Raw genomic sequence first — 17,113 nt, forward strand, 5'->3', positions numbered from 1 at the left:
GGCTTTTTGTTTGGATGGTGATAGTATTACCATAGTAATACCATATTATTGCCATAGAGGAATGTTGTTTGTTGATCTGACTTCATCATACAACATTAATACATACATGAAAATCCAAGTTTTTGCAAGTATAAATTTGGTGATATTATTCACTTAAGGAAATAGTTAAGTAAAATTTTAGGTAATGAGCTCCTAGACATTTAACATTAACTTATGTGTTGTATTTCAAAAATACATTTCCTTTGCTCTGGACAAAAAGCATACCAGGAATTCTATAATTTGCAACAGAATAAATTAGCCCATAAATGTGCTGCATCTGCCTGTGGGACAGACATTATTTTAAAATGTTGTCTCACAGAAGTGAAGGCATTTCTTGATTTCATGTGTGTGTATTTGTTTTGTTTTGTTTTTAATTCTGTATGAGACTTCACAGCAGCTTAATATTGGATTCACAATTAGTGACTGAATAAACATCTCTGTGTGGATTGATTTAGCTCTGTTCATGTATTCATTATGTGGGTGATCTTCTAATACCTCAGCCTCCAAGTTCCTTGACCCATGCTCACAACCCAGATCAGTGGTTCTCAGTGTAGACCTCAGACTGACAGACACAGCATCACAGAGAACTTATTAGAAATGCAAATTTGGGGGCTCAGCCCTAAATCTGGAATCTGAAACTCTGTAGTGTGAAGCCCAGCAATGCAATCCCTTTAGCAAGCTTTCTGGGTGACTCTGAAAGCTGTTATGCTACAACTTGCTAATAACAACAACTCTACCCCTTACTATCATCTCAATTTCAAGCTAACTGCTCTCTGACCACCATTAATCCTGCCAGCTCCCTACTTCCTTCTAGTATCTCAACTGTCCCATAAGAGGTCCATGAATCATTTTCACTTTTTTTTTTTTTTGTAATCATCTCCGTTATGTCCTCATTACTCCTATTAGATCCCATGGTCCATGATTGTAATCATTAAGTTCCATGTTCTCTCTCTCTGTCTTCGTTTTACCTAGACAAATTTCCACCTTGTTTACATCATCTCTCCAATGCTGCAGGCTCATCTGAGTATTTCTAGAGAAAAACTCACAACCATGCCAGCAATCCACTTTAACACTAACCCCAACTGAACCTTAGTACTACTGGAAATCCCAGTATATTACCTTAGTCTAGTCACTCTCATATTCCTTTAGCAGAGTATTTTCACATTCTGCCTCCCCTACTGTTTTTGTGGATAAACTGTCCATGTCTTTCCAAAGGCCAACCTCTAGCTCCTACACTGGATTCCATTTCCTGTCCCCTATTCAAGGAGATTTTTTCCAGTAATTATTTTTTCTCTCTCCTGCACTAGCACTTGTTCCTTCTCTACCTGGCCACTCCCATCAGCAAAATAAATATGCTGTCATATCATCTATTATTTTAAAAAATTCTCTTACCTGCAAATGCCCTGCTTCCTACTATACTGCTTGTTTGTTTTTATAAGAAAACTCTTTTTTAAAAGTTGTCTCTAGTCATTTTCTTCCAATATTGTCACTTGCAACTACCCCAGCCAGGTGTTCATTTCTACTGTTTCATCGAAACAATTTTTGTCAATGTCACCTAAATCTAATGGCTAATTCTTGTCAATGTGCCCAATGAGTTTCTGAATCCAATGGCTAATTCTTGTCACTGTCACCAGTGCGTTTCTAGATTTAATGGCTAAATCTCATTCTTCTTCTGACATGGCCCATGTACAATATCTGACATAGTTAATCAGCTCCCTCCTTCCTGAAATACTTTTTTGCACTTGGCCTTCAGGACACATCTCTTTCCTTGATTATCCCTCTCTCAGTAGCCATTTGCTGCTTCATCCTCATCCTCCTGACATTCTAATATGGAACTATTTCCAGGTTCAGTCCTTAGCCTTCATCACTTCATTATCTGTAATCACTCCCTAGGTGACACCATCTAGTGTCATTCATTAGTTTATATACCATTTAAAAGCTGGTAGCTCTAAAACCCATGTCCCCATCCTATACTACTCCCCTGAACTCAAAATCTATATATCTGTTTATTTGATATCCCCACTTGAGTGCCTAATAAGTCCCATTAATTCATCATGTTCCAAACTGAATTCAGATTTTTCTACCCTGCCCACCAAACCTGCATCTTCCACACATTAGTTAAAGGCAGCTCCATTCTTGCATTTGCTTAGGTCAGACACTGTGCAGTGATCTTAACTCACTCCACTCTGTTTTTTCTCTCAGCCTACACCCAATCCATAGTAAGACCTGGCAGCACTAGCTCCAGTTTACATCCCAAATATGACTGCTTCTCACTGCCTTACTTCTACCTATCTGGTCTATGCCACCCTTATTTTTTTGTCTGGATTGTTGTAAGAGCTTTCTAATTTGTCTCCCTGCCTTTGCTCTTCTCTCTATCCTCTTAGATGCTACTCTTAACCTAGCAAACAGGATGATCTCATTAAAAAGGAAATTGCATCATTTTACTTCTATACTCAAAGCTGTCCCAAAACTTTCAGTCTTATTGGAGTAAAATCAAACTCCTTGTTGTGGCCACGTGACCCACCATATGACCCTCCATGATCTTGCCGCTTCCACCTCACTGACCTCACCTTCTTCCACTCTTCCCTCTTGCCCAACCTGCTGTAGCTACAATGGTGCTGAGGCTGGCTCTCAGTAACCAAACCCAATTCCACTTCAGATCTTTAAATGCTCTAACCAGAGAGATCTGTATCATCTTGCTTGTTTATGTAAGGTTCTTTCTTCCCTGACTACCGAATTTAAAAGAGTAATAGCCTACATATAATCACTTTCTCTTTTACACCAGCTTTATTATTCTTGATGTGACTTCTCACCATCTGACATATCATTTAGGACAAACCACATGAAATTGTAGATAATGACTATTTTTGACCGACAAAAACTGCCAGTGCCTAGGGTAGTCAGGGAAGCCAGTTCGTATTTCTTGTTTGTTTGTAAGCTCTGTGAGAGAAGAGATTTTTCCTGTTTTGTTCACTGTTATAGCCCCAGCTAAAAGATATAGTGCTTGGTACATAATAAATACTCATAAATATCTATAGAATGAACTACATGAATGAGTCAGCAATATTTATAAGGTATCTACAATGTGCTATTCTTGTTTCAATCCCTGTATCCACTCTCTTTTCTGTTTTATTTCTCTTTATAAAAATGAGTCACAGGCTGGGTGTGGTGGCTCATGCCTGTAATCACAGCACTTTGGGAGGCCGAGGCAGGTGGATCACCTGAGGTTAGGAGTTTGAAACCAGCCTGGCCAACATGGCGAAACCTCGTCTTTACTAAAAATACAAAAATTAGATAGGCTTGGTGGTGGGAGCTTGTAATCCCAGCTACTTGAGAAGCTGAGGCAGGAGAATTGCTTGAACCCAGGAGACAGAGGTTGCAGTGAGCTGAGATCACACCATTCCACTCCAGCCTGGGCGACAAGAGCAAAACTCCATCTCAAAAAAAAAAAAAAAAAAAAGAGTCACCACATTTTTCAATGAGTAACTAAATTAATATGCAGTTCGGGTGATTCAAGGGAACACAGTAACTATTTGAAAAAATAATGTAATAGAAATTTATATCTAATACATTATATCTAAGTATATGCATATATCTTTATTTTACTAATTATGCTTTACTGGGACCACTAATAGAATTGTACTGAGACCACTGATAGAGCTTTTTTTTTTTTTTTTTTCAATGTCCTGAACACATTTTATCTGAAAGTGTGTGATACGCATGCTGGCAGGGCAAAAGTAGGATGTCATTAAACTGTTGCTTTAAAGAAGTGACAAAATGTTACTTCTTTCCAAATAAAACAGGATAAAATTTGAAAAGAAAGGCTTTGGGATCATGAAAAGTATGAGTATGGGGAACAAAATACCTTCTTTTAATTTTGCAGCAATGAATACGCTTTGAAAACTGAAATTCGTTAGAAAGTACTAGAAATGGTTTAGCAATAGAGTTCAGCCACAAAACTTAAGTCTGAGACTATGGCATGGGACACATTTTCACCAGTCATAATTTTAGCCAAGTATAGAGAGATGTGATTAGGAATACTCAAATACAATCTGGGGGAAAATAACCAGGAATCACATTTTAAAAAAACATGAAAATTGTGATGTCCTGCAAGACACTTAAAACTGCAACATCCGTTCTCTGAACAAGTTAACTGAGGCAAACTGAGAAGGCAGTATATATCCAGGAGCACAGCACACATTGGGCGGAAGATCTGGGATGAGAGCCCAAAAGTCCCATTTTCCTGTCTCATACTTTTGTATTCAAAATATTGCAATCTGTTACCTAGAAGAAGATTAGTGTGTAGAACTGAATGCTTTAATTTTACTGCAGGAAAAAGTAATGTAGAAAGAGCATAGGCTGTGATGGATATAAAATGTGTCTAAACACAGATATCTTTGGTTAATTAGTAAAATGGCAAAGACACTTCGAAAAACAAGAGAGGCACATAAATCTCTTTCATAAGTGTTAAATATTTCAATATTCACTCATATGAAAATCTTTTAATGGAGCTCTCACATATTTGTAGAAATAATTAACATTATATTTGAAGCATCAATTTTTTTGCCACTGAGCTAACATAACTTTTTATCATTATATCTTTGAATACTGTATTACTTATCTGATCTAGAACATTTCACATAAAAGAAAGCTAAAGTTAGCAAAAGAACAGTTCATAAAAATATGTGGTATCTGTGAAAACAGATATGATTAAAATAGTATGTGCTGTTTAAATGAATTAGAAGTCATCTTGGAAAGCCCAATGAAGTCTCCTCATCACACAGAGGCAGTTAGGAAGGCAAATAGGACTCCAGGGTGCATTAAAAAAGGGAGAAAATAATATGGAAATATTAAGTTGATGTGATATCAAATAATGATATACTTTCATCCAGAATACCGAGTCTAATTTCAGTCAGTGCACCTTAAGACATGTCAAGCAGAGAATGAAAATATCAGAGGAATGTGGAAAAAGGAGTAAATTGGGGATTAATTCACAGAAAGATAATTTATTTCTCCCAAATAAGTTTTAATAAGCAGGAAGTCACTTTTTTTTTTCAAAACATCACAATAAAGGACATTGGGCGACTGATATTTATAATAAAATAATTAGCAACTTAATGTATTAGCTGAAGTTTGGAACGATACACTTAAAACTAGTTATCTGGATTGGTCAGAAAAGCGTTGCAGATTTAAAAGATCTGAATGGGAACATCAGTGATGGAAGCAGAACTTCTAGGCTAGTGGTCTTATTCTTTTCCAGGTTGTGTATTTACCCTGGGCCTTGGTCCCAATCAACATGTAACATTTATTGTAAGTTTATGTGCATTTATGGTGACACAAAAGTGTAAAATAAGGTCTCTCATCCTTTTTTCCTAATTAACAAAATAAATTGCATTATGTGTTTTCTCAGTATAGAAAGAGAACATACATATTACCAGAAAGGAATTCCAGGCTGGAACATGTAGATTATATAAAAGCCTTTTTCACTACCAAGGAAACTTTGTGCCTATTACCTAGAAATAATGGCTGAGCTCACTATTGTGAAGTCTGGGGCTTCCTCTAAGAAAAGAAATGAAATTATTTTCTTTTTCTTTTAATATACTTGTCATTTTATAAAATGTTGGATTTATGTACTTTAACTTGGCATATAAATTTTATCTCATTTATCCTCATGTGCTTCTTAAAATGATTAACATTATCTTCATTTCAGAAATGAAGAAACAGAGTTTATAGTTGAAAGAATGAAAAGGAACGAGGATTCAATTCTAGGCCTTTCACTATGAGTCTATTTTTCAGGATTCACAATGATATTATTTTTTATAATACAAGTGACAATGAGGAAAAAAACGTGACTCTCATGGAACACTGCATGGAATCTGGGACTTTCTTTATCTTTATTTATTTTTTACATACTCAAATAGGAAAAGATTAGTCCCATAAACCTAGCACTAATTTTAACTTCCTCTTGAAATATTCATATTTCAAGAAATTGAAATTACTCATTACTAGAAATTGGACTTTGTAAATAATCTGAATTAAGCTATTCATTAATATTCTCTACTTTAATCACTTGTAGTTTTGGTCTTCCAAACATTTAAGTGATTTTCTGCCTTTTCCAGAGACTACTGTTATTCAGGTGCAAACATTTTTTGTTTATTTTTTCCAAAAAAGATTAGTAAAGACCAAGGTTTGGGAAGCTTAGAGGAACCAAGCTTATTTGAAAGTAGAGTTAAGAGAATGGACTCAGAGGGTATATTATTTAAATACCAAACAAAGGTATTCACAAAAGAAAGAGAGAGAAATAGAGCACATGAATAGTAGCATCTAAGCATTTAGAGCTTCGAATGGAACTTTCTTTCCTCTCTTATGAAATGTCTTTGAAAAGAATTTGGGGCCTTGATTGCATGTTTAGGACATCAGAGTACTAAGCAGGGGTAGGGAAATTCAGGGTCCTATTCTGCCTTTGCTGAATACTGTAGATTTTTTTCTACCCCTCACTGGTAATTATAACGTTTGGAAAGATGAAAAAAAGTGTTTTTTTTTTTGTTTGTTTGTTTTTTTTCTTTCTTGGAGAATGCTTTTCTTTCAAAGATTCTGAGTTTGGAGAAGATCTTTAAACTAAGGGGTACTAGACATAAGAGTCTTTTTAAGTCCTTCTTATCCCAACATTTGAAAAAGCATTTTATTCATAAAGCTTACACTGTTTTTTCACAGGAGCCATTTAATTCATTATGGAGTAGTATGAAGCTGTTGAGAGAGATATAGCAGCTTGATTCATTTGAAATCACAGGACAAATAGACTTTAAAAAGCAAATGCATCCATTTTGACACTAATTATGTGTCTTTTGCACATGCGGTATCTCATGTCACAAATTGCTCTCATTTGCTTCTCACTGCAGAATGTCTCTGAAATGAGATGAGTGGAAAATGCCTTAAACAGGTGGATGTGGAACAGGTCGGGGACTTTAAGGACTTCAGTGGAGGAGGGGTGGGTTGGGGAAGGGAAACAAATGAAGATGTCTTAGAAGTCACTGCAATTTATATGGAATCTGTTCAACGCCGACACTGAACCATATGAGAAGGTGGGTTATATGGCTTTTCAAATATCATGTATTCTCCTTACAATCAGAATGACAATATAACAGAGCCCATGATACCTCAGAAATTGTGCTAGGATTATTTTATTTGTATATGGATCATTGTCTTTGAACCTTAACATAAACCTGTACTTCTGTTCCCATTTTACAGATGAGGGAACTGAGGAGGTGAAGGAATTTATTGAGAAGATCATAAGTAATTCTAGGGGGATTAAAACCGAGGCAATCTGATTCCAGAGCCCTAGAGAGCTTTCCCACCAAGTGTGTAGGACTTTGTCCTGCATTTTTCTGATTCTAACTCTTCTACTTGGCTACCCAAAATTCTGTAGAAATGCTTTATGACAAACAGAAAGTTTAGTGAAGTCTATAGAATTAACCTGAGTCTGGCATCTTGCAATCCACTGTTGAATCTATTTAGCACAGGAGGAGAGCTTTATAAATGATGCAAGAGTTTCTTAGAGTTCTTTATAGAACAATTCAGATTGGGCTAAAAACAACCAAGAGAAGAGAAAAGCACACATTCATTTTCCCTGAATATGAACAAAAACAAAAGCAGTTGCTACATGGTGTGAATTGGAGGAATCTTATATTATTGAGCTGGTGCTTGTTGCCTGATAATGGACAAGACTAGCCTCACTTTTCTGTAACTAAGCCTGTAATGGTGTCACAGCCTATTTGATGCCAATTGGTGTTCCTGGGGTCCTTGGTATAAAGCAACCTTTGCAAATGAGTAGTCAAAATGGTTGGAATAAGGAATAAAACCAGAGAGTAAAAAATGAATAGCTAATTCAACACTTAATTTCTTTTAATTTTGAGAGCCTTACATGTGTGCTGCTACTATGAATGGGTGGGATGTTGATGGTGGAGGAGAGTTTTAAACTGTAAATTTGTTTTCACCTGAGCTGTAGAATTCAAAACTGGCATGCCTTACACGTAATGCAGTTTGACAGTTCATTTGAAATAAATGTGCCGATAACCCTTAAAAGTGGTAATAAAATACTCTTTGCTCTACTGTACAGATGATTAATACCACTAAAGTAATTAAATTCCATTAGGCTGAGGTTCACATACCCAAGGAATTGGTGCCAGGATTTAGCCGTTCTCTAGTGAGGACAAAAGACTAATGCCTTTTAAAGCCATGTTTCACTAGGAAAATCCCAGGGAAGTCTATATTAACTTAGGACATCTGCTTGTTGTGATTGTTTGAGGTATTGATGCATTGGATCATTAGCAGGGTAGCGTGAACTAGTGTTTTCCTGTTGACAAGGATCTCTCACCAGGAGCTGCTAGCTTTCTGCAAGGGGAGAGAGAAAGCAAAGCAGGGCAGCCAAGTTGAGTCCTGTGAATAGCTTTGACTTACAGAATTATTGCTAACTGTATAGTCTCTGATGGTAGGAAACAGCATTTTGCCCCCAGCCATTTTTCCCAAGATCAAAGCCAAAGTAACTCTGTCTCCTGCTGTTTTGTAGCTGTAGATTCTTAAAGACTGGCATTATTGTCGTCGATGAACAGTTTGCCCCCTTTCAGATGGTTGCAGTAATGACCCACGGGGGAGGCAGTGGTTAGGCAGTGCTGACAATGTGACCAGGTGCTGCAGCATAAGCGTTTCATTAAATATTGAAGCAATGGTTTTCAGTTACAGTGGCAAAAAGGGAATTTGGTCTATGTCCAAATATGTGGCTATTTTTTCCCTTCAGCCTCTTCTAATCACATTATTTTTTGCATGACCTTTCTGCTGGTAATTAGCTGCCGTCCTGAAAAGCATTGTGGGTAATATATCTAAGGTGATTCTGCATCCCCCTTTACAGGCTGGTAGTCGTTCTTAATGTATGTATGATTTATTTACCATCTTTTGTCTTAAAATTTACAAACCATAAAAAAGCCCTTATGATTATTTTGTTTCCAGCGATACCCACTGAAAGAATCCTGAATTTTCCAGGGAAAGATAGTTTGCAGAAACTGAGAATGGGACTTAAGTGCATTTAGAGTTAGGTTTTATATGTGTACCATGTGAAAAGCTGTTTTGTGGCTTCAACGCCCTGTTTCCATTTAAAGAATGTTAAACTTGTCTGTATAATTTGTGTAATTGAATTCACAACAGAAGAACTACAGTCATTTCTCAAAGAATGTGGTTGCCACTTTATTAGAGGAGCAGCATTACAATAGCAAAGTTTACTAGGCTGTCTGTCCTGTGACAAACTTTTTATTTATTTTTTTTTGAGGCAGAGTCTCACTCTTGCCCAGGCTGGAGTGCAGTGGCACAATCTCAGCTTACTGCAACCTCCACTTTCGAGGTTCAAGTGATTCTCCTGCCTCAACCTCTGGAGTAGCTGGGATTACAGGCATACATCACCACCACACCCGGCTTAATTTTTGTATTTTTAGTAGAGACAGGGTTTCACCATGTTGGCCAGGCTGACCTCAAGTGATCCACCCGCCTCGGCCTCCCAAAGTGCTGGGATTAGAGGTGTAAGCCACCACACCCATCAACAAACTTTTATAGGACTTCCTAAAGTTCTCTGTTTGCAGAATCCTTTAAGAGAAAGTGGGACTTTACATAGGAAAACATTTGTAAATTGTAATAAAATATTGCACACAGAAAACTCATTCAAAACGTCTAGAGGAAAGCCTGGTGACTATTGGAGGCTATGAGAGGTGAACTAAAACAACAATGTACCATAAAACAAACAAAACAGAAGCTCCGGGTAGGAAAGGCCACAGAAATTAAATAATTTTCTTCCCACTTATCCCTACCTTGAAAATCTTACCTATTGCTTAATAGCTATATTAAATTTCAAATTTTCTGAAATATCAAACTGAGTTTCTGCAGGTTAGGTGCACTTTGTCAGATTTCCACATTTAAGTCAGGTTCCTCTCTTCCTTTAGCAAAACTCTTTGGCACTTTTCTACCAAATGTAAACATGGTTTTGTATAATATTGTCATTCATCTGAGAGACAAACTAAACTGTTACATGTGGGCATTATGTTTTAGATGTACCATACTTGCCCATGAGATCACCAGCTCTATGTCAAAACCACATTAAAATAAGAATCTACTGTCAAATTTTCCTTGTTTTTGTTTTGATTGTAGTTAGGAAGAACTGAATTAAAATGTTATTGTAACCATTCTTCAATCTCTGTCTTTCTATCTTTCTTGTTCTATCATTATTCCTTTATTCTTCTTCCTCAATTCATAGATGTTAAATGTGTGTACCTGCCAGGGAAAAAAGTACTGAAAAGTGACTGTTTACTGACAGGTTTTTATTTTCTGACCAGTATTAGTAAGATAAAACAACTTTTAAAAAGAGCTATAAGAAGAATTTTAACTTATTGTTATTATTTCCTTTTGATTGTACTGTTCAGAACACTTTAGGAAATGACTACCTTCTTTTCATTGGCAAATTCTTTTTTTTTTTTGAGATGGAGTCTCGCTTTGTCGCCCAGGCTGGAGTGCAGTGACACGATCTCGGCTCACTGCAAGCTCCGCCTCATGGATTCATGCCATCCTCCTGCCCCAGCTTCCCAAGTAGCTGGGACTACGGGCACCCGCCACCACGCCCGGCTAATTTTTTTGTATTTTTAGTAGAGATGGGGTTTCACCATGTTAGCCAGGATGGTCTTGAGCTCCTGACCTTGTGATCCACCCACCTCGGCCTCCCAATGGTCTGGGATTACAGGCGTGAGTCACCACACCCGGCCAACAAATTCTTAAAAATATAAAAGTTTATATGTAATAGAAAAAAATTGAGGCTGCTGTAGATGGAGCAAATAAAGAAAAAAAGGAGGAAGACTTGTTTAAAAATGTAAATTAATCAAGCTTGTTTCAACCTATTCATGCTTAGTTGCTAATATTATCACCTAGCTAGTACTTTCATGTTGAAAATTGTTTATACTCCCGAGACTGTTTTAAGTAAGATGACAACCAGGCAAAATTCTAGAGTTGTACGTGAGTATGGAAATAAATACAAAGTGTCTCGTGCCAGTACCATTGCTTCTTGTAGACATAGCCAAAATAGCTCCTAAAAAATGTTCATGAGATTCCTCAAAAGAGCATATTTATCTATTTTCAAGTGCTGGATGGGATAGTTTCTCTGCCTCAAGAGTTTTCACAAGCAATGGTGACATCTTCAAATTTCAGTCTAGTGGGCTTGAAATATTTTTGGAGAAGACAGTATGCATTCAAAACCATTCCTTTTTTTTTATTATAATGTGAAAATTCTGTTTTGACACAATTTCTTCATTTCTTCATGACAATTTGCACACACAGTTTAAATTATTTCCCATTATTTAATTGTATTCTTTGGGCTTCTCTGAAACACATAAATATTAAGGATAGATTAATGCCAGAGAGTATGTCCAAAATACTGCTGGCAAGAATAATGTGACCAAAGGGAATTATCTTTGATAGAGGAAAGATTGAGATACAGTTAAGTGGAAAAGGGAGGGGATTGTTTCTAGGCTAGTAACTGAATGGTCTCTATTCAGAATGAGATTTTGTTATAATAATAATAATAATTTATGAAAGGTTTTCTTTTTATTGTTAAGCTTTCTTTTCATGATATAAGTGAGATTTTAACTTTCAAATTTTTTTGTAGGACTCCTGATTTTGTGATATGTGGCCTTAAAGATTCTAAAAGTATCTGTATTGGCACAGATTCCTCTATTTCAGAACATTCTATATGTTGCAAAATAATTTTGTAATATAAATCAATAAGCACTTATTAAGTGACTATAGACATATATTCTAGAAAATACTTTGGATAATATATCTGAAGTCTGATTTTATACTTTTAATTTTTAGAAATTGACTCTTTGGTGGCAGTTTCTTTGAGAGCCTTGTGTGCTGTTTTAGAGGTTAAGTTATGGCGTACCCTATATTTTGTAGAACACTGACACCCTGTGAAAAACAACATAGTATTCCCAGGTTAAAATGGAAAACTAATGCTTTCCCCACTTCACAGACCCTACATTAATTTTATAATGAAAATATTTTTCATTTAAAATTTTTCTCTAAGAGCTGCCCATTTTTGAGAGACACTGACTTTTATTGTTTAGGCTTTTGGGCTATGGTGGCATTGCCAGAGGGAGCCAGAATTTGATCAGCATAAGGAAATTGCAAGGCATGGTTTTAAAAATTAATGTACGTGGTTCAATAAAGAGTGGTAATTTGAAAGGATCCAGCAGAATGCAGATAGAAGATGGGGAACTGGGCATTGGAAGTTCTGGTGGTATAGGTAGCTGAGCCACATATGGACACAATGAAGGAAGGTGGATGACAGAAGCAAGAAATGCATCAATAATTGTTGCTGAAAGGAACAATTTTTTTCTCTCAGTTTTGGGGAATGAGTTGAAGGAACAACCCAGCAAAAGCAAAAGGAAAGTTCAAAGTTAAAAACAAACCAGGGGCACACAAGCAGCAAAGGGGAGCTGAGAGGAACCTGGGAAAGTCCTCATTTATTTGCAAGTTCTTGGTGATCCTTGACATGATGTGAACTTGACTGCTGTAACTTACAGGGAAAAATACACAGTGGTGTGCTGGAGCCGGCCAGTATTTGCTCACAAGAAACAATTGTTAAATTGTCAGTAATTTTGCAAGCCCATTATTAAACACAGCCATTATTAACAATTAAAATTTTACACTTACAATTCAATTCGGTTTATATATATATAATATATATATATATAAAAATTATAAAGATGGGGTCTTGTTCTGTCACCTAGGCTGTAGTGTAGTGGTGTGATCATAGCCCACTGCAGCCTCAAACTCCTGGGCTCAAGCAATCCTCCCACCTCAGCCTCCCAAAGTTCTGGGATTATAGGCATGAGCCACTATGACCGGCAAATTAACTATATTTAAAATAAATGTAACATATGTGCAAAACTTATCACTTATTACCTTATAAACCTTTACTTTTCTTTATAATTTTGAGTTCATTCACATCTATTCTATCTTTACCGTGAAAATGCTATATAATGATGTGCTATTTCCTATCCTCTACATTTAGTATCATCATCTTGGTAACCTGAAGTCAGCCATGATGGGAATATTTACACCATGAAAACTGGCAAGTGTTACAATCAGGGCATTTTTCCTCATCTTGAAGCTAAATGTCAAACATATACTCTTACACATTTAACTACACCTTTGCAAGTATTTGTGATTATCTTGATCATTCCATTAACAGGGACACTCAACTACACTTAATCTACAGTAGGTCCAATATCTTGTTCATATTGTTTTTAGTAGTAGAGATAGTAGGATTGAGGGCAGATTCAGAAGAGCAGGTAAGCAAACATCTTCTTGCTCAAAACTAGTATTCAGTAAAAAGAAATGAGGTGAAGAAAATTTGGCAAACTGTCTTCTGAGACATAGGTTTTCTTGGAATTTTACCCACATGTCAGTATGGAAAGAAATCAAGATTGCATTTTTCCACCTATTAGGGAAATCAACACACACTAAGACAGAAGGGAAAAGATCATTTTTAATAAATTTGACCAACTGTGGTTCTTAGGGCAAAAAAACTGTTCTTCTCTGAGTTATTAATACCTAAATAACAAAGTGGGATTGGAAAAGGCCCAGATATAGGTATATAAGTACAGATAACAGTTAACAGCATGCCAACCATTGCTCAAAAGAAAATGTGAGAAAGACAAGAGTCTATCCCTGGGGTTCACATTGCCTTAACCTGGGTTCTTGGACCTTTCTATCTTCACTAAAATATGTTTCAACTTATGATCAATTATGAGTACAAGAGAGCCAGAGGGTTTTTTTTTTTTTTTTTGGTTCAGGGTGCACAATTGCAGCTTTGAAATTCTTTTACATTTTCATTCTTCATGCTGATGAGTCAGTGCAGATTTATATTACCATGTTATTATGGATAGTGGAGACTGTGTCTCCTTGAAAGTAACGGCATGTGATTGCTTACTCCATTACTTTCAATGGGACTCAGTCGTTGCCATCCTTAGGGACTCAATCCATTGAAAGTAATAGTCTGAGACTGCCCACATTGTTACCGTGCTTTAAATTGGCTTGAATTTATACTAAGCAGTATGGGCTAGCCACAGAAGTCTCACTTTTAAATGATGTAGAGTTGATCAAGTTTTTTGGCCAGCATTTAGAAAGTTTAACTGCCTGTTTGGAGAGTATATTCTTATTATTTAAACCATCCATTTCTGAATATTGAAATGTTTTGACATTTAGCCTCTGAACTATTAGAGAAATTCACAACATTGCAAGAAATTGTTTTTAAACTTTAATCCTTTCTTAAATATGCTGTATTCTGGCATTTCAGGAAAAGAGAATTCTTTTGCCTGGACATTAATTAGGTTAATGTTTTTACAATAATAACTAAAGTATATTTTTAGAGCTAAAAAGAAACTCCACAATATCACATTTTAGATGAGGAAGCTGAAGTTTAAGGTAATTTGACATGGGTCAAGGTCACAAGGCAGACTAATAGCAAAGCAGAGACCAGAATGGCTCTGTGCAGGATTATCCAATCCCATTTAAATCTTTAGAATTAGTCTATTTTTATTCTTAAATATACTAGTGAGTTGTTTCAAGATAAATTGCACATTAGTACTCACACTTAAGTGATAACACATTTTAATTTTTCTCCATAAAACAAACATTTTAAGATCCTGTTAGCATAAAATACCTTTCTGGTAAAAACATTCATGGAGTTTGAAGTGGGGTAGAGGAGAAAGAAGGTATTGCATAGGAGATTGTATAAAATAGTGTTAAAAAACTGCCTCAGGTATATTATCTTTTATATAACTTTGCCCCTATGTTTATGTTGGAGTTTGGGAATGCAGAACATACTTTTAAAATCTGTGTTCTGTTATCAAATTGTTGAAATGCCCAGTCTTTTTAGACTACTATAAAAAAGTTTCCATTGTAACCTCTATAAAATCAGCAAAGTGTTACTTTATATTTAGTTGCTTTTACAGCTAAAACTTGGACATTCCTTGATATATGTAGCAAATAGTTGATAAAATCATTAAATGTTATTGAGTTTGTACCTTGTCATGAAAGCTAATCATTTGTGAATTGAAGGCCTTCCTCTTTATTAGCAGTGCCAATAGTGGAAAGTACTGGCCTCTCCTAGATATTCACTGTAACAAAAAAATTCAAAGCCCTGTCAATTATGTGATGAAAATGAGGGAGGTATTAGCTTTGATAATAATAACATAACCAGAAATTTAATTTATTATTTTGTTTATTGTCAACATTATTGATGCAAATATTATTGATATATAGATTTTTACCACATATACTTGTATGTAATGCATATCTAACTACTATTTGGATAGACAATTGAATTATACATATATTAGTTATGTTACTATGGGAATCGGATGTAACATGAAGGTGTAAATATGGATGTTCTCTAAAATCTCTTCCATTTCTAGAGTCTATGATTATATGGTTTAAAAAATACGAATTTCAGTCCTAGCAGCTAATTTCCTTTTTATTATATAACAAAATTTTATCCTACAACATTTTTTAAAAGTAAACTACTAATATGGTTTGGCTCTATGCCTCTACCTAAATCTCACCTTGAATTATAATAATCCCCATGTGTCATGGGAGGGACCCGGTGGGAGGTAATTGAACCATGGGGGTGGGTTTTTCCCATGCTGTTCTCTTGATAGTGAATAAGTCTCACGACATCTGATGGTTTTGTAAAGGGCAGTTCCCCTGCACATGCTCTCTTGCCTGCTGCCAGCTAAGAGGTACGTTTGCTCCTCCTTCACCCTCCGCCATGATTGTGAGGCCTCCCCAGCCATGTGGAACTGTGAGTCCGTTAAACCTCTTTTTCTTTATAAATTACCCAGTCTTGGGTATTTCTTCATAGCAGTATGAAAATAGACTAATACAACTACCGCACCAAAAAACGAAAAAACAACTATACTACCCTGTGCTCTTACAAGTCAGGGTAGTGGCTACTCTTGGAGTGGGTGTGGTGGTGATTGACAGATGAAGAGATGAAGAGAAGAAGGGGAGATTCTTGGTGCTATTAATGTTCTGTTTCTTGATCTGGGTGCCGATCATATGATTGTGTTTCGTTTGAGAAAATTCATCAAGCTGTGCACTTTTCTGCAGTTTTGAAGAAAACTGGATAAAACGTTTTGAAATGACATGCAAATATAAAGAACAGGTTTATTCATTTGAAAACATCTGACGTTCCAAGAGACTTAACCTCCTTTTAAAAGTTCATCTTAGAATTGTTTGTTTGGTTTGTTTTTGGTTTTGTTTTGTAATAGGAGAGGTTGACAAACTATGGCCCCTGGGCCAAATCTGGTCTTTTGCCTATCTTTGTATAATCTATGAGCTAAGAATGGCTTTTTACATTTTTTTTTTGTCACCCAGTCTGGAGTAAGGTGGCGTCATCTCGGCTCACTGCAACCTCCGCCTCCTGGGTTCAAGTGATTCTTCTGCCTCAGTCTCCCAAGTAGCTGGAACCACAGGTGCGTGCCACCATGCCCGGCTAATTTTTTTAGTAGAGACGGGGTTTGGGATTTCACTGTATTAGCCAGGATGATCTCGATCTCCTGACCTCTTGATCTGCCTGCCTCGGCCTCCCAAAGTGCTGGGATTACAGGCATGAGCTGCTGCGCCCGGCCATGGCTTTTTACATTTTTAAATAATTGAAACAGAAAAATCAAAAGGAGTCTGTGTGTGGTGGTTCATGCCTATAATCCCAGCACTTTGGAAGGCCAAGGTGGAAGGACTGTTTGAAGCCAGGTGTTTGAAACCAGCCTGGGCAACACAGTGAGACCCTATCTCTTCAAAGAAAAAAAAAAATTAGCCAGGCGTGGTGGCAGGTGCCTGTAGCCCTTGCTACTGACAGGGCTGAGGCAGGAGGATGTCTTGAGCCCAGGAGTTGGGCTGCAGTGAGCTGTGATTGTACCACTGCACTCCAGCCCAGGCGACAGAGGGTGACCCTGTGTACAAACAAACAAAAGAATAGTAT

At 36.6% G+C, this 17,113-nt stretch overlaps 1 long non-coding RNA gene across 1 annotated transcript in view, besides 1 other annotated feature; it reads left to right on the plus strand.

Moving 5' to 3' along the window:
* The first annotated feature begins 6,936 nt into the window (after positions 1-6,936).
* Positions 6,937-17,113, plus strand: part of LINC01122 (long intergenic non-protein coding RNA 1122) — a 543,014-nt gene continuing 532,837 nt past the window's right edge. Inside the window, exon 1 of the long non-coding RNA NR_033873.1 lies at positions 6,937-7,121. This is a non-coding gene — a long non-coding RNA (long intergenic non-protein coding RNA 1122). The remainder of the gene's footprint in view (positions 7,122-17,113) is intronic.
* Positions 7,389-9,189: an enhancer, noted in NCBI's record as "VISTA enhancer hs1174". NCBI's record gives its function as "enhancer in: dorsal root ganglion[6/6]" and the evidence as "EXISTENCE:transgenic organism evidence [ECO:0001131][PMID:17130149]".

This window comes from Homo sapiens, chromosome 2 (genome assembly GCF_000001405.40).
Source record: "Homo sapiens chromosome 2, GRCh38.p14 Primary Assembly".
Taxonomy (NCBI): Eukaryota; Metazoa; Chordata; class Mammalia; order Primates; family Hominidae; genus Homo; species Homo sapiens.